General features: G+C 52.8%; 2 protein-coding genes across 8 annotated transcripts in view, besides 5 other annotated features; one reads left to right on the top strand and one right to left on the bottom strand.

Annotated features, from left to right (window-relative positions):
• The window catches only part of SDHA (succinate dehydrogenase complex flavoprotein subunit A), a 50,427-nt gene extending 49,495 nt beyond the window's left edge, over positions 1-932 (bottom strand). For all 7 annotated transcript variants that reach the window (XR_007058614.1, XM_011514072.3, XM_011514073.3 and 4 more), the window contains exon 1: positions 834-932. Coding sequence is in view for 6 of the 7 variants with exons in the window: in XM_011514072.3 (XP_011512374.1) it covers positions 834-896 (63 nt within the window). In the remaining variant the exon portion in view is untranslated. The remainder of the gene's footprint in view (positions 1-833) is intronic.
• Positions 114-922: an enhancer, noted in NCBI's record as "H3K27ac hESC enhancer chr5:218445-219253 (GRCh37/hg19 assembly coordinates)". NCBI's record gives its function as "activates a minimal SCP1, AML or CMV promoter by ChIP-STARR-seq in naive H9 embryonic stem cells {active_cell/tissue: H9 hESC(naive)}" and the evidence as "EXISTENCE:reporter gene assay evidence [ECO:0000049][PMID:30033119]".
• Positions 114-1,121: a biological region, named in NCBI's record as "H3K27ac hESC enhancer GRCh37_chr5:218445-219253".
• Positions 322-561: a silencer, noted in NCBI's record as "silent region_15860". NCBI's record gives its function as "represses an Ori minimal core promoter by ATAC-STARR-seq in GM12878 lymphoblastoid cells {active_cell/tissue: GM12878}" and the evidence as "EXISTENCE:reporter gene assay evidence [ECO:0000049][PMID:35858748]".
• Positions 792-1,121: a silencer, noted in NCBI's record as "silent region_15859". NCBI's record gives its function as "represses an Ori minimal core promoter by ATAC-STARR-seq in GM12878 lymphoblastoid cells {active_cell/tissue: GM12878}" and the evidence as "EXISTENCE:reporter gene assay evidence [ECO:0000049][PMID:35858748]".
• CCDC127 (coiled-coil domain containing 127) lies at positions 1,099-22,384 on the top strand. Its single transcript, NM_145265.3, has 3 exons — positions 1,099-1,159; positions 2,393-2,523; positions 13,294-22,384. Exons 2-3 carry the CDS (start codon positions 2,403-2,405, stop codon positions 13,953-13,955), a joined length of 783 nt encoding a protein of 260 aa, NP_660308.1. The 5' UTR covers positions 1,099-1,159; positions 2,393-2,402; the 3' UTR covers positions 13,956-22,384.
• Positions 11,160-11,485: a silencer, noted in NCBI's record as "fragment chr5:207882-208207 (GRCh37/hg19 assembly coordinates)". NCBI's record gives its function as "represses an EF-1alpha promoter that drives an FKBP-Casp9 reporter gene in an ReSE screen in HepG2 liver carcinoma cells {active_cell/tissue: HepG2}" and the evidence as "EXISTENCE:reporter gene assay evidence [ECO:0000049][PMID:32094911]".

Here is a 22,635-nt window from a genome sequence, read left to right as displayed (position 1 = left end):
CCCTGACCACCATCCTGGACTAAGCCGAGCCCGGCCCTAGAGGCACTCAGCGCACAGGCAAGCACAGGTCCCGGCGTCCTCGCCCGGTCAGTGCGCTGAGCTCTCCGCCTGAGTTTTAAAAACTGGCACAGCTGCTTTTAAACACTGGCACATTTTTGGTGGCATAAGGACCACCAAACACGACCCAAAGTAGAAGCCCTTAACTTACAAGGTCTCGAAGTGGACATGGACAGATTTGCGCTTTCTGGAAAGGCGAACTGCAAGCCTAAGCTCGGGCGCGCCACGCTTCCCACCGGACGCCCACCGGGCCGAGCCCGGCCACTCCTCGCACCCACCCGGGCGGTCTCACCCGCCCCGCCGGCCCCACCCACGGGCTGCGGGCTGCTCCTCAGGACAACCCGCACAGAGGGCGGCAGAGGCCCAGCCCAGCCAGGGCGGCCACCGGCCGCTATCCGCCCGGGTGACCTTGGGCAGACACGACTCCTCCCCGAGTCCACCTGCCAGGCACTGAGGCGAGGGGCTACCTCAGCCCGCGGGGTCCCAGGACCCCAGGCCCGGACCAAGGCGGCGGAGGGGACGCCCAGCAAGCCCGCGGGGTTGTGACCTTCACCCGGACGCGGACTATCTACTAAGGACCGAGCTCCCCGGGTCCCCGAGTCCGCCCCGCGGCTTCCCCTCGCACCGGCCCAGGGCTCTCTCAGCCCCTTCCCGATCCCGGGACAGAGGGCGCAGGGACCCGGCGCCCGCTCCGCTCGGACCCGCTGGGGACCGTCCCGCTCCTACCGCCGCCTCGGCCCCCGCCTGCCCCGCCCCGGTCCGCGGCACGGACTCACCGCCTTGGCCAGCGCCAGGCGCCGAGCGCTCAGCAGCCGCGACAGGCCCCGGACCCCCGACATGTCTGCTGTTGCCGCCGCGCAGTCCCGCCAGTCCCTGCGCAGACTGCGCCTGCGCACCACACCGGGGTCGAGCTGGCGGGGGAGGGGGGATACCGCGCCTGCGCACCACGCCGGAGTCGAGCGGGGCTGCAGTGGGGGACATCGCGCCTGCGCACCATGCCACGCCCGGAGCGGGTACTGAGTGGGGGCGCCGCGCCTGCGCAAAGCGGACCCGCGGACGGTGGCGTTAAGGGAACGCTGAGGTCCCGCGCTCCCCGACCGAGGTAGAGCGGGCCCTGTTCCGGGGAGGTGGTGGGCACCAACATTTTTAAAGCCCCGTGGGTGGTTCTCCGGGATCGCCCAGACCGAAGGGCCTGAACGCCCAGACCGCAGGGAATGGGGTCGGAGGGGGGCGCTCGTCCGCGGAGGTGGGCGGGAGCGGCCCGGGGCCTCCGACCTCTTGTTTATTATACATCCCTTGATTAACTAAACTATTTTGTAATTGTGTGTGTTTGTGGAGGTCACATGTAAACAAACTTAAAGTGACTCTACTTTGTGAAAATGTGAAACTTCGTGTAGGTACTCAGTAAATCAGTAAATTCTTACTAACGTTAGCCCCCAGCCTAGCTATGGAGGGTGCATGCTGAGCCCGAAGCAGAGAACTCTGTAATCTCTGCATTCATCACCACCACGAGGAGGCCTCAGAAGCTTCTAGCACTGTTTGCACCTTCCCCACATCACCCCTCCCTGCCTTCCTCACAGTCTTCCTTCTGATCAGAAGACCCTTTCCTTCTTTCTCTGCCTGTCAAAATGCTGCTCACTCTTCAAACCCTAGCTCATATGAAAGTGTCCGGTGTGAGCCCACTTTTATCGAGTTGATTCTGTATCTTTGATACAACTGTATGAGGGTTCTCCAGAGACACAACAAATAGAAGGGAGACGTGAGGAATTGGTTTAAAGGTTCAATTGCTAATCTCATCCAAAAACACCCTTACAGACACGCCCAGAAATAATGCTTAACCATGTATCTGAGCACCTCATGATGCCGTCAAGTTGACAAACAAAATTAACCATCGCAGCAGCCATACATTTAAACATATTTGTACCAGAGAACTTACCTGATTCTACCTGCACTTCAGATGCTTAAGACATGTCTGTTTTCTCCACTTTCCCCAACCAGATTGTGAGTCGCTTTCATCTTAAGTTCTTGTTTTTTTTTTCCTTTTTCTTTTTCTTTTTTTTTGGGGGGGACGGAGTCTCGTTCTGTCACCAGGCTGGAGTGCAGTGGCGCGACCTCGACTCACTGCAACCTCCACCTCCCAGGTTCAAGCGATTCTCCTGCCTCAGCCTCCCGAGTAGCTGGGACTACAGGTGCCCGCCACCATGCCCGGCTCTGGTCTAGTTTTTTTCTTCTTTGAATCCCGTAGGGCCTCAGTGCTGTGCAGCAAGCACATAGTTAAAACTGAAGAAAAATTTCTTGAATAAAAGTAGTTAACGTTTTTATTCTTTACTTCAAGGTATATCTCCATGAATAACCTAAATGATCCCCCAAATTGGAATATCCGGCCTAATTCCAGGGCGGATGGTGGTGATGGAAGCAGGTGGAATTATGCCCTGTTGGTTCCAATGCTGGGATTGGCTGCTTTTCGTAAGTCATGGTTTTCTTAAAATTCGTGTTTTCCAGGCTGAGAGTGTGGAGCCCCGGTGAGGGAGGCAGCATGGTGTGGGAGCCTGAAGGCCGTGACTTTGGGACCTGCCAGGGACAGCCGAGTTTTATCCCCTGCAGTGAACCGTGGGCAAATCACTTAAGCTCTGAGCCTCAGTCTTCCTGTTCACAGGAGATGGATAATCATACTTAACCTCAGCACACTGCAAGGATTAAGTCAGCCAAGGCGTTTAGAAGCATTTTGTGTGGGGTGGGTTTTAATAACTTAGTTCCCTCTGAAGGCTTTGCTGCTCTCAAGTCGGGGAGGAGGTTCCTTATTTCAGGTGCCCTCATAAGGACTGCTGGGGAACAAAACGGGTGTAAAGGAAACCAGTGGGCTGGGCGTGGTGGCTCATACCTGTAACCCCAGCACTCTGCGAGGCCCAGGTGGGCAGATCGAGTGACCAGCCTGAGCAACACAGCAAAACCCCGTCTCTACAAAAAAATACAAAAATTAGCAAGTCGTGACGGTGCACACCTGTAGTCCCAGCTACTCAGGAGGCTGAGGTGGGAAGATCAGTGGAGCCTGGGAGGTCGAGGCTGCAGTGAGTGGAGATGGCACCACTTGCCCTCCAGCCCGAGCAACAGGGTTAAAAAAAAAAAAAAAGAAAACCAGTTTTGGAAAACCAGTGATGTTTAATGTTTAGGAAATCAGTCTTTGGGAGACTTCATCCATGAAATCTCTGCTTGGCCTGGCCAGAAAAATTCTCTCTAGTTTAGATTGACTTGGCACCACTTTGGGGACCTGCCGGTCATATGCAGACTTACATCCCCACCACACAATCAATTCACTGATGCAGAGGAGTGAGTTTTGTGTTTCTTCACATTCCATGGTTCTGGGCTGGCACTTAGGAACATGAGAAACTGAATAATTGAATGGAAGAAAGGCAAAACTGCCCTCTAGTTGTAGCGATACATTTTGTGTAGTGGCTTTTTATCTGCTTCCATGTCTCAGGTCAGAAGTTTTGCTGTAGAGGAAGAGGAGGCTGGTAAGAGCAGGTGGTTTTTATGATTCAGTGATCTGCGCAGTGCTTGCTTCTTGGTGAAAGACAGGGCAGGTCCACATCCAATCCTAAGGGGCTGCCATGTAAAAAGCTCATCCGCCTGCAGGCTTGGGAAAAAAAACCCTTAACACTTGGAGAGGCTACTGTTGCCTGTGGCTAGGGTGAGTGGATTGGAAGGCTTAAAATTACTCTGACTAATGTAATAATTAATTGGCTTTGAGGCTGGGAGAGGCCCTGAAGTGACTCATTTTCCATTTGTTTTTCAGACTCATCTCCAGCTTTTATAGCCTTTCATGATAACTTTCACTTTTGAAATTCTTACCTTCCCTTCTTGGACTTTTGAAATGATGCTTTCTGTCCCTGAAAAGGGTTGAAGAATATTTTTTTCTTCCTGGTTTTTTGCTGAGGTAGTGTGGTCAGAGAGAACTGTTAAGTTGGTGTTCTTGTAAGGATTCTCCAAAGGTGTGTTACGATGTGTTTGAGGTTCTGTTGCACATAGGAGCGTTAACCAGCCCCTAGTGTAGTCTAGAAGAAGAGGCAGACATATGAATACTTGATAAGCGCTATTGGTTGATTTATTGATGAGAGGCTAGTTTTGTCCTGATCACTCGCTTCATTTACTAGAATTTTTTTTTTTTTTCGAGACGGAGTCTTGCCCTGTCGCCAGGCTGGAGTGCAGTGGCGCGATCTCGGCTTGCTGCAACCTCTGACTCCCTGGTTCTAGTGATTCTCCTGCCTCAGCCTCCCGAGTAGCTGGGATTACAGGCGCCCCTCACCACGTCCAGCTAATTTTTGTATTTTTAGTAGAGACGGGGTTTCACCACATTGGCCAGGATGGTCTCGATCTCCTGACCTCATGATCTGCCCGCCTCGGCCTCCCAAAGTGCTGGGGTTACAGGTGTGAGCCACCGTGCCCAGCCCATTTACTAGATTTTTACTTAACATAACATAGAAATGTGTGTAATTGTGCTTGCCCGAAAGAGCAGTCCCTGGAGAAATTCTTACCCTGAGTAGCTCCCAGGGGAGAATATTCAGTATTTCAGCACTCCAGAGGGCTTCTCTCTCTTCACACCTCCTCTGTCATTCTGCTTCCCCCCTTTTCTCTCAGTCTTCTTGATTGCCCTTTCCCCATCTCTCTCTCCGTGCTTTTCCCATCTCTCCGTGCTTTCTCCCCTCTAGTGTTCCTGTACCTCCTGTTTCCTCCCCTGACCCAGAAAACATAGTTTTAGAGCTGAAAGGGACTGGTTGAGTTCACTGGGCCCAACTCAGTTTCTTTTAATTAAATATTTTATTTTGGGGTCATGTAAATCACATGCAGTTGTCATCAGTAATGCAGAGAGCCCGTGTACCCTCTACCCAGCTTTCCCCAGTGGAAGCATCTGCAAAACGATAGTGCAGTGTCACAGCCAAGACATCTGCCAGGATGCGGTCAAGATACCCCAATCCCTGGGGCCTCACGTGCTGCCCTGTGTACCGCCCCTCCCTCCATAGCCCCCGGCAGCTACTGATCTGTTCTTCATCTCCAGAACTTTGTCATTTCAAGAATGTTATGTAAATGGAATCAAACAGTATATAACCTTTCGGGTTGACTTTTTTCATTCAGCATAACCCCCTGAGGTCCATGCAGATTGTTGCTGTATCAGTAGTTCATAGATAGTTTCATTGCTGAGTCGTGTTTTATGACATGGACGTACCACAGTGTGTTTAACCACTGAAAGACATCTGGGTCCTTTCCAGTTTTCAGCTGTTATGAATAAAGCTCTTATAAACATTCTTGTGTAGGTTTTTGTGTCGATGTAAGTTTTCATTTCTCTCGGATAAAGGGCCAGAAGTGAAATTACTGGGTTTTATGGAGGTTGCACGTTTAGTTTTTTAAGAAGGGCTGAAATGTTTCCCGAGTTGCTGCACCGTTTTAGGTTCTCACCAGCAATGCAGAGCTGATCGGTTTCTCCACCTGGTCAGTATTTGGTGTTTCACTGCTGTCCCGTCTGCCCCATCCTGATGGGTGTGTGGTGCTGTCTCATCGTGGCTGCAGCGTGCAATGTCGAGCATCAGCGTGCTCACACTGCTGTCCCGTCTGCCCCATCCTGATGGGTGTGTGGTGCTGTCTCGTCGTGGCTGCAGTGTGCGATGTCGAGCATCAGCGTGCTCACACTGCTGTCCCGTCTGCCCCATCCTGATGGGTGTGTGGTGCTGTCTCGTCGTGGCTGCAGTGTGCGATGTCAAGCATCAGTGTGCTCACACTGCTGTCCAGTCTGCCCCATCATGATGGGTGTGTGGTGCTGTCTCGTCATGGCTGCAGTGTGCGATGTCGAGCATCAGCGTGCTCACACTGCTGTCCCGTCTGCCCCATCGTGATGGGTGTGTGGTGCTGTCTCGTCGTGGCTGCAGTGTGCGATGTCGAGCATCAGTGTGCTCACACTGCTGTCCCGTCTGCCCCATCCTGATGGGTGTGTGGTGCTGTCTCGTCGTGGCTGCAGTATTCGATGTCGAGCATCAGTGTGCTCACACTGCTGTCCCGTCTGCCCCATCGTGATGGGTGTGTGGTGCTGTCTCATCGTGGCTGCAGTGTGCGATGTCGAGCATCAGCGTGCTCACACTGCTGTCCCGTCTGCCCCATCCTGATGGGTGTGTGGTGCTGTCTCATCGTGGCTGCAGTGTGCGATGTCAAGCATCAGCGTGCTCACACTGCTGTCCCGTCTGCCCCATCCTGATGGGTGTGTGGTGCTGTCTCGTCGTGGCTGCAGTGTGCAATGTCGAGCATCTCAGCGTGCTCACATTGCTGTCCCGTCTGCCCCATCCTGATGGGTGTGTGGTGCTGTCTCATCGTGGCTGCAGTGTGCAATGTCGAGCATCTCAGCATGCTCACATTGCTGTCCCGTCTGCCCCATCCTGATGGGTGTGTGGTGCTGTCTCATCGTGGCTGCAGTGTGCGATGTCGAGCATCAGCGTGCTCACACTGCTGTCCCGTCTGCCCCATCCTGATGGGTGTGTGGTGCTGTCTCATCGTGGCTGCAGTGTGCGATGTCAAGCATCAGCGTGCTCACACTGCTGTCCCGTCTGCCCCATCCTGATGGGTGTGTGGTGCTGTCTCGTCGTGGCTGCAGTGTGCAATGTCGAGCATCTCAGCGTGCTCACATTGCTGTCCCGTCTGCCCCATCCTGATGGGTGTGTGGTGCTGTCTCATCGTGGCTGCAGTGTGCAATGTCGAGCATCTCAGCGTGCTCACATTGCTGTCCAGTCTGCCCCATCATGATGGGTGTGTGGTGCTGTCTCGTCATGGCTGCAGTGTGCGATGTCGAGCATCAGCGTGCTCACATTGCTGTCCCGTCTGCCCCATCGTGATGGGTGTGTGGTGCTGTCTCATCGTGGCTGCAGTATTCGATGTCGAGCATCAGCGTGCTCACACTGCTGTCCCGTCTGCCCCATCGTGATGGGTGTGTGGTGCTGTCTCATCGTGGCTGCAGTGTGTGATGTCGAGCATCAGCGTGCTCACACTGCTGTCCCGTCTGCCCCATCCTGATGGGTGTGTGGTGCTGTCTCATCGTGGCTGCAGTGTGCGATGTCGAGCATCAGCGTGCTCACATTGCTGTCCCGTCTGCCCCATCCTGATGGGTGTGTGGTGCTGTCTCGTCGTGGCTGCAGTGTGCGATGTCGAGCATCAGTGTGCTCACACTGCTGTCCCGTCTGCCCCATCCTGATGGGTGTGTGGTGCTGTCTCGTCGTGGCTGCAGTGTGCGATGTCGAGCATCAGTGTGCTCACACTGCTGTCCCGTCTGCCCCATCCTGATGGGTGTGTGGTGCTGTCTCGTCGTGGCTGCAGTGTGCGATGTCGAGCATCTCAGCGTGCTCACATTGCTGTCCCGTCTGCCCCATCCTGATGGGTGTGTGGTGCTGTCTCATCGTGGCTGCAGTGTGCGATGTCGAGCATCAGCGTGCTCACACTGCTGTCCCGTCTGCCCCATCCTGATGGGTGTGTGGTGCTGTCTCGTCGTGGCTGCAGTGTGCGATGTCGAGCATCAGTGTGCTCACACTGCTGTCCCGTCTGCCCCATCCTGATGGGTGTGTGGTGCTGTCTCGTCGTGGCTGCAGTGTGCGATGTCGAGCATCAGTGTGCTCACACTGCTGTCCCGTCTGCCCCATCCTGATGGGTGTGTGGTGCTGTCTCGTCGTGGCTGCAGTGTGCAATGTCGAGCATCTCAGCGTGCTCACATTGCTGTCCCGTCTGCCCCATCCTGATGGGTGTGTGGTGCTGTCTCATTGTGGCTGCAGTGTGCGATGTCGAGCATCAGCGTGCTCACACTGCTGTCCCGTCTGCCCCATCCTGATGGGTGTGTGGTGCTGTCTCGTCGTGGCTGCAGTGTGCGATGTCGAGCATCAGTGTGCTCACACTGCTGTCCAGTCTGCCCCATCATGATGGGTGTGTGGTGCTGTCTCGTCATGGCTGCAGTGTGCGATGTCGAGCATCAGCGTGCTCACACTGCTGTCCCGTCTGCCCCATCGTGATGGGTGTGTGGTGCTGTCTCATCGTGGCTGCAGTATTCGATGTCGAGCATCAGCGTGCTCACACTGCTGTCCCGTCTGCCCCATCGTGATGGGTGTGTGGTGCTGTCTCATCGTGGCTGCAGTGTGTGATGTCGAGCATCAGCGTGCTCACACTGCTGTCCCGTCTGCCCCATCCTGATGGGTGTGTGGTGCTGTCTCATCGTGGCTGCAGTGTGCGATGTCGAGCATCAGCGTGCTCACAGTGCTGTCCCGTCTGCCCCATCCTGATGGGTGTGTGGTGCTGTCTCGTCGTGGCTGCAGTGTGCGATGTCGAGCATCAGTGTGCTCACACTGCTGTCCCGTCTGCCCCATCCTGATGGGTGTGTGGTGCTGTCTCGTCGTGGCTGCAGTGTGCAATGTCGAGCATCTCAGCGTGCTCACATTGCTGTCCCGTCTGCCCCATCCTGATGGGTGTGTGGTGCTGTCTCATCGTGGCTGCAGTGTGCGATGTCGAGCATCAGCGTGCTCACACTGCTGTCCCGTCTGCCCCATCCTGATGGGTGTGTGGTGCTGTCTCATCGTGGCTCTACTGTGCAGTGTTGAGCATCTTTTCTCATCGTGGCTCCAGGGTGTGATGTCGAGCACCTCTTCACGTGCTCATTGCCATCAGCGTATCCTCCTGATGAAATGAGTATTCTTGCCTTTCAGCCGTTTCCTAATAGGACTGTTTGTTTTTTAATGTTGAGTTTTGAGAGTTGTTAATATGTCTTAGATTCTAGTCCTTAGTTGCATATGTGGCTTGCAAGTATCCTCTCCCAGTCTGTAGCCTGTCTTTTCATTCTCTTCATAGGGGCATTTGCAGTGTAAAAGTTGTAATTTTGATGAAGGGCAGCTTATCATCGTTTCCTTTTATGAACCATGCTTTTTGTGGAAAGTCTAAGAATTCTGCCTAGCTCTAGATCCTGAAGGTTTTTTCTTCCTAAAGTTTTAGTTTTACATTTTACATTTAAGCCCTTACCCATTTGAGTTAATTTTGTTAATAAGGAGTAAGACTTTAGTTGTATTTCTTCTTTCCAGCCTGTTTGCCTTTGATTTCTTGTCTTGCCTTCCGGCACTAGCTGGAGCTTCTGGGACTCTGTTGGACGGTCCCTGACCTGAGAGAGAACACACTCAGCCTCTCCCAGCTAAGTACAGTGTCAGCTGCAGGTTTTCCGTAGATGCTGTTTATCAAGTCAAGGAAGCTCCCCTGTATTCCTGTTTTTCATGAATAGGTGTTGAATTTGGTCCGTTTTTTTTTGGTTTCAATTGATGGAATCGTGATTTTTCTTCATCAGCTTAGTAATGTGTTAGATTGCATTGATTTTTGAATATTGAACCCGTCTTTTGTCTCTGGAGCAATCCCCACGTGGCCGTGCTGTAGAATTAGTTTTATGTATTATGGAATGATGTTTGTGACCAGGCTGCAAAGGATTGTTTCTGTGTTTGTGGGGGAGTCCTATGTGTTGTGGAATGATGTGTGTGGCCAGGCTGCGAAGGGTTGTTTCTGTGTTTGTGGGGGAGTCCTATGTGTTGTGGAATGATGTGTGTGGCCAGGCTGCGAAGGGTTGTTTCTGTGTTTGTGGGGGAGTCCTATGTGTTGTGGAATGATGTGTGTGGCCAGGCTGCGAAGGGTTGTTTCTGTGTTTGTGGGGGAGTCCTATGTGTTGTGGAATGATGTGTGTGGCCAGGCTGCGAAGGGTTGTTTCTGTGTTTGTGGGGGAGTCCTATGTGTTGTGGAATGATGTGTGTGGCCAGGCTGCGAAGGGTTGTTTCTGTGTTTGTGGGGGAGTCCTATGTGTTGTGGAATGATGTGTGTGGCCAGGCTGCGAAGGGTTGTTTCTGTGTTTGTGGGGGAGTCCTATGTGTTGTGGAATGATGTGTGTGGCCAGGCTGCGAAGGGTTGTTTCTGTGTTTGTGGGGGAGTCCTATGTGTTGTGGAATGATGTGTGTGGCCAGGCTGCGAAGGGTTGTTTCTGTGTTTGTGGGGGAGTCCTATGTGTTGTGGAATGATGTGTGTGGCCAGGCTGCGAAGGGTTGTTTCTGTGTTTGTGGGGGAGTCCTGATTCCGTCATTCCAGTTTTTCTTCGAGTTGTTCTGTTTTTCAGTTCCAGAATTTTCATTTGGTTCTTCTTTACGTCTTGTGTTTATTTTCTTAGGCTCTCTGTCATGGCAGCTGCTCTGAAGTCCTTGTCAGATGATACTGCCATCTCTCATCCAGGTCTTGGCATCTGTTGATCATCTTTGTTCATTTAGTGTGACCCGTCCTGGCCCTTGGTACTAGGAGTGATTTTCTGTTTGAACCTGCGCATTTGGGGCATTACGTGCTGAAACACTGGTTTTTATTTAAACCTTCGGTCTTAGCTGGCTTTCTTGAATGGCGCCCTGGCAGGGGAAGGGCCACGCAGCCTCCTTACTGCCAGGTGAGGATGGAAGTCCAGGCTCCCCACTCAGCCTCTGGCCCCCATGGGCCCCCGAGGAAAGGATGGGAGTTCCAGCCCCCCGGCCTCTACTGGTGCCCCCCGGCTGGGAAGGCCTCAGCACTGCTCCCCACATGGCTCCCCCCGACCCCACCCTGTGTTTGCTGCTGGGTGGGAGTGGGAGCCTCAGCTCCATCCAGCCTTTGCCCATGTGGGTGGAGGTGGGGCCGTAGTTTTTTCTGTGTTATTTGGCTGATGTAGAGTGATTACTGTCGGAACATTTTCTCTCTTGCCAGGCCTCTATCGTGGTCCTTTGGGCAGAGACAGCAGGCTTTGTTGGAGTTTCTTTTTTTGTCTGCACCCGTTGAGATTTCCAATTGACTGTGTCTTCAGCTCCAAGTATGGGATCTATGAGGCAAAATGAAAATCTAGAGGACTTGCCCCCGTGTTGTTCCTGGGGTCCCAAGGACCCAAGCCAGTCTGCCTTCTCTCCATCTTTCAGAGTCATCTTGTTTTACAGATGATGTCCAGGATTTTTAGTTTACTTAGAAGAAGAATAGGGAGGATGTCTACTCCGTCTTCCCAGAAGCAGGAGTCTCACCGGAAACTGAGGCTTTGAAAAGTTGCGTGTGCCCAAAGTCTGTCAGGTCAGACTCGGAATTCAGGTTTTCCTGACATCCAGCCTGTCCTGCCACACTTTCCTCTGCAAAGCTGCCTGTAGCCTCCCCTGCCTGGCTCCCTGTCCAGCCAAAAACTTACCAGTAACCACAGCCTGTATGGTGGGGTCTGACGTTTAACCGTGTGCGTCATTGTCTGTGTTAGTTTTCCAGTGGTTTGGTGTGTCAATGATGTGACTCGACTGAGATCGTCCCCAGATTGTATCAGGGAGCAGCTCCCTGTCTCCTCTTGATTCGGCGCCACCCCTCGCAGCCCCACCTCCACCCCTCCACACCTCCTGGATGCTCTTAAGTCACGTTAATTCCTTTGACTCCTCGTGGCTGCAGAACATATCCCGTGCTCCTTGTCCGGGTCTCCTGGGGGCCCCTCTCATTTGGCACCTGTGACTTTCCAGAGGCAGCTCCAGCTTGTCCTTGACATAAGCCCCGTCCCCAGGCACATCCGGCTCCTGGAAGCTCTCACTCTCCGATGCTCTCGCCTGCCTTGCTCGTTTAATTTCGGGTGACTTTTCCTTGCAGCTTCTGCTCAGCCTTCAGCCTTCTAGACTTTGTTCATTCACCTTTTTAGGAAGCCGTTCTTGACTTCACCAAAACCAGACGAGCCTTCCCTTCTCTCTCCTCACATACCTTTGCAAACCCCTCAGTGCTTATCAAGTGACGTTGTAACAGCTTCTTTCCTGGTCAGGCCCCTGCCTGTGAGCTCTCGTCAAAGGGAGGAGATAAAGGTGACGTGAGTTTGAGTTGTCATCTGAAGTAGGACTAGCAGCTATTTTTGGTTGAGGAAGGATGAGTTTGGTTTTGTGCTTACTCAGTGAAGTGTCAACAGCATATCCAAGGGGGACTGGCTTTCAGGCTAATGGAAATCTTGCTGTTATGGAATTGCTCCCACAAAGGTCATTCATGACCCGGGAGAAAAGCAAAGGTGACCATTAATGACCTGGAAGAAAAAGGTGACCATTAATGACCCGGGAGAAAATAATTGAATGTCAAGGACACCACCTGGGTTGGGGGAGGCAGCAGGAGGAGGAAGAGAACCATTAAAGTTGATAGAAACTCCAGTGGTTCTAGAAGGGGCTGCAGACGAGGGAGTCCCACAGTTAGTAGGGGAGGGGTTACAGGATAGAAGCACACGAGGGAACCCAGACTGCTGCTCTCAGTGGCTTTTGGGGCCTTGGGCTTTGAAAATTTGCCAAACAGTTCTGTTTTCCAGAAGACTCAACTCCGTGCTGCTTTTAGAATGTACAAGCAGAACACGTCGCTGTTTGGAAAACTAAGACTTAGCATGCAGTTGCTCCAACATGCATGAAATTATTGAGCAGCATCAGTTCGGAATGTGGATGGAACTGTTATCACACGGTCTTTTTTTATTGTTGAAACACATCCAACTCTTACTTGTGGGATGGACAAAGGGTTGGTGGCTCTATACGGAGCCAGGTGCCTGCTGGCCAGCAGGCTGTGTGAGTCATCCGGTCTTAGAGGCGCTGGATTTCTCTGCAGTGCAGGCCAGCCCTGCTGCTCCTTGGTGTAGGGGGCAGAGCCGGGCAGTGCCCCCTCCAGCCTCCCAGCAATCTTCGTCCCGTTTTCGTGAGATTCCAGCAGTCTCCAGTTTGAGGAAAGAGGCCCACTGTGTCTTGAGGCTGAACTTCTTAACCCACTTTATTTTTATGTGTCCTTATCAGAACATAAGCAGTGTCTCAAACTCAGGCCGTTTACTAGTCGCCACCGGGCAAAGCTAAATACAACTTTTATAAGAACCTGGCCAACGGTAGTTGAAGTCGACCCAAACATTTTAAACTTTGCCAATTGTACTAGAGCCGGAGCAGGCAAATGGTGGTAGATCTTCTTAGCAACAAACAGTTAGAAGACGGAAAGGGCTAGGGTTAGGGTCTTTTGGTCACCCAGCCCTTACCTGGTTTTCAGATAAGAACTTGGCCTGTTACACATTTTCACGTAGAAGTGATCTTCTTGGTACAGCCGAGGTCTTAAGCTTTTACTGAAACACTATCCTTAGCTGCCTTATGATTTAAGTGAGGATTATAGAACTTCAGCCCTAACTTTTTCATTATGTGTATTTTTCTTCATTCATGTCAGGTTGGATTTGGTCTAGGGAGTCCCAGAAAGAAGTAGAAAAAGAGAGAGAAGCCTACCGTCGGAGAACTGCTGCTTTTCAACAGGATCTGGAAGCCAAGTACCACGCCATGATCTCAGAAAATCGGCGTGCTGTCGCTCAGTTGTCCTTGGAACTCGAAAAGGAACAAAACAGAACTGCTAGTTACCGAGAAGCCCTTATCTCTCAGGGACGCAAGTTGGTAGAAGAAAAGAAGCTTCTGGAACAGGAACGGGCCCAGGTGATGCAAGAAAAAAGACAGGTGCAGCCTTTGAGAAGTGCGTATTTGAGCTGCCTGCAAAGGGAAGAAAACTGGCAAAGGAGAGCCAGGCTTTTGCTGAAAGAATTTGAAGCTGTTCTCACAGAAAGACAGAATATCTACTGCAGTCTGTTTCTTCCTCGCAGCAAGCGGCTGGAGATAGAGAAGAGCTTACTGGTGCGAGCGTCCGTCGACCCCGTCGCCGCTGACCTAGAGATGGCAGCCGGTCTCACCGACATATTTCAGCATGATACATACTGTGGTGATGTCTGGAACACCAACAAACGCCAGAATGGCAGACTCATGTGGCTCTATCTCAAATACTGGGAACTCGTTGTCGAACTGAAGAAGTTTAAGAGAGTAGAGGAAGCCATACTAGAAAAGTAAGACAAGAGTGAAATCAAACTGCTTTTAGTGACTCGAGGCCAGGCAGTCATGCGCCTTCTGGGTCTCCGGCGTCTTCCGTTCCCGTGCTGCCCGTGTCATGGCCACACCGTCACCCTTCAGCAGCGACCTCCACTCCCGCCACCGTCTGAGCAGAAGTGCACCGAAGCCTCAGAGACAGAGGGTCTCCTCCCGATGCTCTGCCGCTGTTGGGGATATGGTTTCTTGAAGCATTTTTAGGCTGCCAGTATTGTATTAAGCAGAACAGTATAACCTCGTATTTTAGCTCCAGGGTAAAAATGGTTTTTTAAAAAGTCAAATACAATACTGGTCCTTACCACAAGTAATTTTCTGTCTGTTTCATCACTCCCTAAATACTTTCTCCTCAAATTATTTTTCTCTGTCACCAGATTACATTAAGAATTTGTCAGATAATGTGTAGAACTGCATAACAGGTAATAGGAAGTAGTAATATTATATTATCAAGGGTTTATATTTTAAAGATCTCTCTCACTCCATAAAGGGGAAATACCAAGTGTTTCTTGTATCCAGTTGTTACTTAATGTGTGTTTGTTGTATGCAGTTGTTACCTAATGTGTGTTTGTTGTATGCAGTTGTTACCTAATGTGTGTGTGTTGTATGCAGTTGTTACCTAATGTGTGTGTGTTGTATCCAGTTGTTACCTAATGTGTGTTTGGAATTTGGCTTGTGTCTGTATTCAGCAAGCAGATACTTATTAGCAATGATATATACTCAAAATACTTGCCATTTATGAGTAATAATGCCACTTTTTGTGTAATTCTTCACTCTTTACAAAATATTTTTATATGTATTATCTCATTGTTTACCACAGCCAACAAGGTAGACAGGCACTTATCACCCCATGTCACACATAGCTACTGGGAATTGAGCCTGTATACCTGTTCACTCATGGAATCCTCAGTCGAATCCTGTGAAGTGAGTATTACTATTACGCTTTGCGGAGGTGCCCCAAGGCCAGCCCCCAGGTGCGTGACCTGCTGGGAGATCTCACAGGACTCAGCACAGGGTTGGACTCAGCACAGAGCAGAATCAGCAAAGGGAGAGGGTGTGTGGGTGGCGCTCAGAGGAGCCACGTGTGGACACCCCAGGATCCACTCCCTGGAGTCATACAGGACACACCTAACTATTAAGAATAAGCTCACTGGAGACTCAGCACCTGGGGCTTTTGCTAAGGGCTGGTCATGTGGTACCCCCTGCCTGGCCTGTGTGGGAATTCCCCACTTGTCCAGAAGGAGGGTGGGTTTGGTGTGGTCTGTGCCGTGAGCACAAGTACTGTGGTCACAGAGCCACGCGTAGGAGTTAATGGTGCTGGGAAGTCTCCCAGAATCCGAGTTCCCAGATGTCAGTCAAGGGCCAGCCTTGCACACAGGCCCTGGTAGGACACAGCCTTGGGCCTGCTGTGTGAATTCGTCACCACGCACCTCACTTTACGGAGATGTGGAAGAGCTAACCTGCCTGAGGTCACGCAGGTAGTAGTGTTGGAGCCAGTCTGAGCCCGGGCACCTTTTCTCCAGAACCGCGAGTAACCTGTGTGCAGTGATTTGATAGTGTGTGGCCAGGCAGGAGCGGGAGCAGGTTGTCCATCTGCTTTCAAGGGCCATGTTCTCCCCTCCTGCCCGTCTGTACGGGAGTAGGAGCAACTGTTAAAAATCCTAAGCTCATAGAGCCCACGTGGCAGTATGAGAGCCACTATTCATGGAGTGCATGTTCCACCCTGAGCTGTACACGCTTTACACGCATGCGTTGTTTGAAATCCGTGGAACCCCTTGAGCGCGGCGGAGGCGGGCTCAGAGCCAACATGCGCTGCCTGCAACAGACACGGGCCCCCTGCCATGCTCTGCTCTCGGCACCCACGCCCTGCTAAGGGTGCTCAGATGCTTCACCCAGGCAGGAGTGCAGTGGTGTGATGGCTAAGGGTGCTCAGATGCTTCTCTTCTTCAGTGGCTGCTAGCGTGCCTCTCTGCTCTACCACCATCGCTTTATCTGAGAAAAAGTCACTTTTATTTTCATTTTTTATTTTTTTTGAGAGGGAATCTCTGTCACCCAGGCAGGAGTGCAGTGGTGTGATCTCAGCTCACTACAGCCTCCGCCTCCTGGGTTCAAGCGATTCTCCTGCCTCAGCCTCCTGGGTAGCTGGGATTACAGGCGTGCGCTACCACACCCAGCTAATTTTTGTTTTGTTAGTAGAGACGGGGTTTCACCATGTTGGCCAGGCTGGTCTCGAACTGCTGACCTCAGGTGATCCACCGCCCCCACCTCGGCCTCCCACAGCACTGGGATTACAGGTGTGGGCCACGGCACCCGGCCCCTAAAAAGTCATTTTTTCGGTAAATCTGGACAAAACTCTTCCTGTTGTTGTTTGTACTTCCTGATGCATCAAGACCCTTGCCTAAAGAGCGGTGCAGGCTCCATTCCTGCGGCAATCCGGTCTGCTGGGTGTCCCTGTGTGAACCACTCCACGTTTGTCTTTAAATGAAGAAAACACAGTCAGCTGCTTTGTAGGTGAATGATTTTCGAGGCAAATTGTTAATCCTCATCCTGTTTCTAATGTCCAGTGTGCTGTCAGCCTAGCTTCCTTCTATAGTGAGATAGATATGTTCAGAGCCTTCAAGCTGGTGTGGACACTGACCCGCTGACCCGGTCCTGCAGAGTTAGGAAGACGAGCATTTTTTTTTTGAGACAGTCTCGTTCTGTTGCCAGGCGGGAGTGCAGTGGCACAATCTCGCCTCACTGCAAGCTCTGCCTCCCGGGTTCGAGTAGTTTGCCTGCCTCAGCCTCCCGAGTAGCTGGGACTACAGGTGCCTGCCACCATGCCTGGCTAATTTTTGTATGTTTAGTAGAGACAGGGTTTCACCATGTTGGCCAGGATGGCCTCAAACTTCTGATCTCAGGTGATCCACCTGCCTCAGCCTCCCAAAGTGCTGGGATTAGGGGCGTGAGCCACCGTGCCTGGCCGGAAGATGCTCTTTCCACAGGGTTGATATTAGTTCGTGTTTGTGTGGCGTGGCTGCCTTCCATCAGCAAGTTTGAGTGTTGATGTGAGGCCACCCTCTTTTGAAATGGATTGTGGTCGGTTTGGAATAGTTACACGGTGCTGTGCCATTTGGTAACTCCACACATGTACCGAAAGGTGAGCCCACAGTGGAACGCTCCTCAACCAAAGTGGTTTAAAGTTGCAGAAAAGGGTAATTGTGCTGGTTGGTGTGTGTGCTGAATTTGTAGCGACATCAGAGTCAAGCATTATTTGTCCTGCTGCTTTCTTGGAGGTCACAGTAACTATAAAACCGTGAGCCAGCAAGGCAGAGAGGACCCTTTGGGGTAAGGAGTGGAGCTCTGGGAGATCCTAGGTTTCGGAAGCAGGTCCAGTTTCCTTGGGGAGGGGAGGGCTCGCTGCAGGGCGGAGGAGGGGCAGCCACTGTAATCCTTGTCTGGAGTGAACATTGTATATGAGGTTGCAGTGGCTTAAAAAGGAAGGACTTTTGCGGGGAGGGGTTGAGATTGTACTTTCTAATTTCGCTTGCTTCAGACTTGACTTTGGAATGAAGTTCGAAGGCATCACAATTGACCTGGACATTCCAAAAACAAAACTGAAGAGGCAGCATTTCTCTTCCGTAGTCCAGTCAGCTCATTTGGTAGATGCGCTTTTTCCTCCTTTGCGCTTATTCATCCATAAGGATATATAATTTGCATATATATTTCATATGCGTGCATATGTGTGTGTATGTGTGAACTGGCAGGTGTTGATTTCATAAGGACAAAATTGTTCTGCAAACCTTGCACCAATTATGGGGTGTTTCAACGGAAAAACTTCACCAAATGATCTGTGTGTTCTTTCAAAGAGAAGTTATGTCTAATTAAAATGTGTAACGGACTATTTCTGTGTTGGATTGTTTAAAAAGTGATTGCTTCATAGTGTACTAAGATCATCTCTTTAAGCAGAAGGGAGAAAACAGCTTTCTAGTTACTTTCACATATTAGGTTTGCTACATAAAAGCAAGTCTGAAGACTACACCTGTGACATTGCAGAGACCAAACTGCAGTGTGTGCAGCCATGAGTGGCAGCTGCTTCCTCCTCGAGGTGTCTTGTTCCAGCATGAGGACAGCCCGTGCGATGTTGGGAGGAGCCAGGGTGTTTGGGGGGGCAGCTGCCCTAGACACTGGCTGGCTGTGATGGGGGGCAGCCTGCTGTGTAGACACTGGCTGGCTGTGATGGGGGGCAGCCTGCTGTGTAGACACTGGCTGGCTGTGATGGGGGCAGCCTGCTGTGTAGACGCTGGCTGTGATGGGGGCAGCCTGCTGTGTAGACGCTGGCTGGCTGTGATGGGGGCAGCCTGCTGTGTAGACGCTGGCTAGCTGTGATGGGGGCAGCCTGCTGTGTAGACGCTGGCTGGCTGTGATGGGGGCAGCCTGCTGTGTAGAAAGTGCTGGGCTTGCTCCGTCTGCCTTGACTTGTGTGAGTAACTGCGCTGGGTTTTATAGGTTGAGGCTGAAAAGGCTCCTCTTTCTATGCTGGGTTTGACGAAACAGTTGCTGTATTTCTCTATTAATTTAGGATTCTGTTTGCAAGCAGCAGAGATGGATTTGTGCTAGCCTAGAAAGTTAAAGAGGGATTTAAGGCTGTCTCGTGAAACTTCAGGTCAAGAATGGAGAACACAGGTTAGATGTCAGAGAAGAACCAGAAAGACAAATAAGGGACTCTCAGGGGCCTCGGAGTACTTGTCACTCTGTGTCATATCTCTGCATAGCCGCGCCAATCCCCAAACCAGCTTCTCTGGCCACACGGTGGGACAGGGCGGTTCCCACAGCTCCTGAGCCTGCCCCCTGCCTGGCCTGCTCCAGCGGGCGGCCGAGTTAGGGAAGCGCTGGGCTCCACCATACCGCGGTGTTCTAAAGGAGTGGGAACAATGAAGATCAGGGTTGCAGAGCCTGTGGCCTTTGCTAGCTTCATGGGAAATCTTGAAAAGAGAAAACGAAGGGCTTCAGTAAGCCACCCATGGACAGCAGGCATGCGGTGGAAGGCGGAGGGCTTCTGTGGCAGCTTCGCAGGTCTCTCATCTGCTGCAGACCCCCTGACAGGCTGAGGGTCTTGCTGTCGGGTAGCGGGACCAGATGAGCCTGAATGTGGCTCTGCGGCTCACAGGACAAGTGTACCTTGAGAGCTGCTGCCGCCGCCTGGATGTTTGCTGGGTGAGCTCCAGATTCACGGGAGCCCTTTGTGCCAGCATGGCCGCCCCAACCCCATGGGGAAAGCAGATCTCCCTCACCTGGGAATCTGGCAGAGACCTCAGGCAGTGCCCCATCTTTCATGACCTGCCTGGTCCAGGTAGAGGAGTCAAGTCCTGCTCCAGGAGCAGGTGCAGGGCCTGGCCTGGGTGCCGAGAGTGGGGTGAGGAGGGAGGAGTAACGAAGAAAGGCAGATGGGCAGAAAGTGCCACATTGGGGCACTCAAGTGGCTCTGTTTAATATTCCAGCAGGGACACTGAGACCGAGCCCATCCCTGCTGGGAGAGCTTCTCGAAGCTGGTTGGTGGCTGACAGGCAGGGAGTGGGGTGCTGGGGCCTCCTCGGGAGGTAGGGGTGCTGGGGCCCTGCTCTTGACAGCACTGTGCCATAGCTCCGAGGTGGCTGCTCCCCATGGGCCAGGGCTGGTGGTGCCAGAAAATGGGATCTGGGCTGAGGGGCTCTGGGCTGGCAGAGGTGGGGCGGGGGGTGACTGGCAGGCATCAAGATGGGGGGGGACAAGCACGGTGCCCCCACCCATGGGGCCGTGTGGGGCTGATGGATAGTGGGACTCCAGCATGCAGCAGATGATGGAGCCTTGCTCAACTCAGAAGAGGAAGAGCAGGAGAGCGCTGGTGGATGAGAGCAACCCTGATGTTCCAGGGCCCTTGGCCACGTCCACCACACAGAGGGGCCACGTCCACACAGAGGGGCCACGTCCACCACACAGAGGGGCCACGTCCACCACACAGGGGCCACTGGGCCTGCGTATATCTCCTTGGCCTGCGAGGGTATCATCATTTCCTGACCTGTGGAACAAGTCATTAAGCCAGGAAGGACTTGAGTTGGAGCCCCTAAAACGGCCCCCACTCCTTGCCAGGATGGTGGACAGGAAGCAGTGCCATGTTCTGAAGGAGCTGCACCAGCCCATGCTGCTGTGGAAGACCCAAGGGAGGCAAAGACGGTGGCTCCAGATGGCGGCCCCCATTGGGACCCTGCTCACATCACCCACTGGCCCTGGAAAGCCGGGGTGGGCCTGGGCAGGTGAACCCTGAGGCTCCGCCAGGAGCAGCCCCAGCTACAGCCACCATGGATGTTTGCTGGGTTGGATCAGCACTCTCACCTGCTGAATGGTTTTGCCTGATTCCCACTAGCTTGTCTTGTGTGGGAGGCCGTGTTTTCTGCGGTAGAGAAGTGCTCTCCATAAAAACCCAGCAGGCGTGCTCCTGGGCCCTGCAGACGCCGGATGTGTGGCCACAGACGCCATGCGACCCAGGACTGGAGTCACAAGATTGGGCGAGGACAAAGACCCAGCGAATGGTGAACGGCCATGCAGGATGGGGCCGATCAGTTCAGTAGGAGCAAGTGCGAGACCTGCACAGGACGGGCGAGGGAGGCGTTGGTCCCCAGCCTCTGCTGGCCTTATCAGAATGGGCTGTTCTTGGGAAGCCCCTGGGTGTCTGTGGAGCTGGAGATGTTGGGAGCTTGTGCCCTCAGCACCGCCCACTGACACCAGTGGGCTCCTGTGTGCCCTGCCCAATCCCAGGCCTCAGGACACCCAGCACCCTGGGCCCTTCTCCACTGCCACAGGCCTTAAGGTTGGTCATCATGCCGCCCAGCGGCTGAGTCTTACAATAAAAATTCAGACACAAAGCAGTGGCAGCCACTCTGTGCTTTAGAGTTAGAAGTAAGTCATTAAAAATGTTGGCCCAGCACCTTCCCTGCCTGTTTCCAAAAGCTGGCCGCAATATCAAATTCATGTCCCTGGACAAGGCTCCAGTAAGGCACTGCCTGCAGTGTGCAGAGAGCACTTAGGTGGTTGCAGAGCAGGCAGAGACGAATGTGGGGAGTGGAAGTCACCATATCTGCCCACTCGGCAGGAGGCCGTCCATTCCTGAGACGCCCCCGGGAGGCAGGCTCCTGTACGGCACTCATGCTGGGTACCCAACCCCTACAACCCAGGCAAACCCCTACCCTGGGCAGAGAAGGGCCTGGACACACCAGGGGCAGAAGGAGAAAGGGGATGGAGACAAACCTGGGTGGGGGTGACCTGGGGGCAGCTGGGGTGGGGTGACACGGGGACCATTGGGGTGGGGACACACTCCGGGAGGGGGAGACACGGGGCAGCAGGGGTGGGGGCACACCTGGAGTGGGGTGACATGGGGGCCCCTGGGGTGGGGACACACTCGGGGAGGGGGTGACACAGGGACCACTGGGGTGGGGACACACTCCGGGAGGGGGTGATACGGGGCAGCGGTGTAGGGAAAAGAGAGATCAGACTGTCACTGTGTCTATGTAGAAAGGGAAGACATGAGACTCCGTTTTGAAAAAGACCTGTACTTTAAATAATTGCTTTGCTGAGATGATGTTAATGTGTAGCTTTGCCCCAGCCACTTTGCCCCAACCTGGAGCTCACAAAAACATGTGTTGTATGAAATCAAGGTTTAAGGGATCTAGGGCTGTGCAGGACGTGCCTTGTTAACAAAATGTTTACAAGCAGTATGCTTGGTAAAAGTCATCGCTATTCTCTAGTCTCAATAAACCAGAGGCACAATGCACTGCGGAAAGCCGCAGGGACCTCTGCCCTTGAAAGCCGGGTATTGTCCACGGTTTCTCCCCATGTGATAGTCTGAAATATGGCCTCGTGGAATGAGAAAGACCTGACCGTCCCCCAGCCCGACACCCGTAAAGGGTCTGTGCTGACATGGGTTAGTAAAAGACGAAAGCCTCTTGCAGTTGAGAGAGAGAAGTCCACTGTCTCCTGCTCGCCGCTGGGAACTGAATGTCGCGGTGTAAAACCCGATTGTACATTTGTTCAACTCTGAGACAGGAGAAAAGCCGCCTTGTGGCGGGAGGCGAGACATGTTTGCGGCAATGCTGCCTTGTTATTCTTTACTCTGCTGAGATGTTTGGGTGGAGAGAAACATAAATCTGGCCTACGTGCACGTCCAGGCATAGTACCTTCCCTTGAACTTAATTACGACATAGATTCTTTTGCTCACACGTTTTTGCTGACCTCCTCCTTATTATCACCCTGCTCTCCTACTACATTCCTTTTTGCTGAAATAATGAAAATAATAATAAAAACTGAGGGAACTCAGAGGCCGGTGCCAGTGCAGGTCCTTGGTATGCTGAGCGCCGGTCCCCTGGGCCCACTGTTGTTTCTCTATACTTTGTGTCTTACTTCTTTTCTCAGTCTCTCGTCCCACCCAACTAGAAATACCCACAGGTGTGGAGGGGCAGGCCACCCCTTCACAGCGGGGGTGGGGACACACCTGGAGTGGGGTGACATGGGGGCCCCTGGGGTGGGGACACACCTGGAGTGGGGTGACATGGGGGCCCCTGGGGTGGGGACACACTCGGGGGGGGGTGACACAGGGGCCATTGGGGTGAGGACACACTCCGGGAGGGGGTGACACAGG

This window comes from Homo sapiens, chromosome 5 (assembly GCF_000001405.40).
Source record: "Homo sapiens chromosome 5, GRCh38.p14 Primary Assembly".
Taxonomy (NCBI): domain Eukaryota; kingdom Metazoa; phylum Chordata; class Mammalia; order Primates; family Hominidae; genus Homo; species Homo sapiens.
Note: the sequence above shows the minus strand (reverse complement) of the source record. Positions and strands in the feature narration are given on the sequence as shown.

Excerpts from the sequence above, each read along its gene's own strand:
- CCDC127 (NM_145265.3), top strand. The coding sequence starts at position 2,403 with ATGAATAACCTAAATGATCCCCCAAATTGGAATATCCGGCCTAATTCC. Across the intron at positions 2,524-13,293 it reads GCTGGGATTGGCTGCTTTTC|GTTGGATTTGGTCTAGGGAG; the intron begins GTAAGTCATGGT and ends CATTCATGTCAG.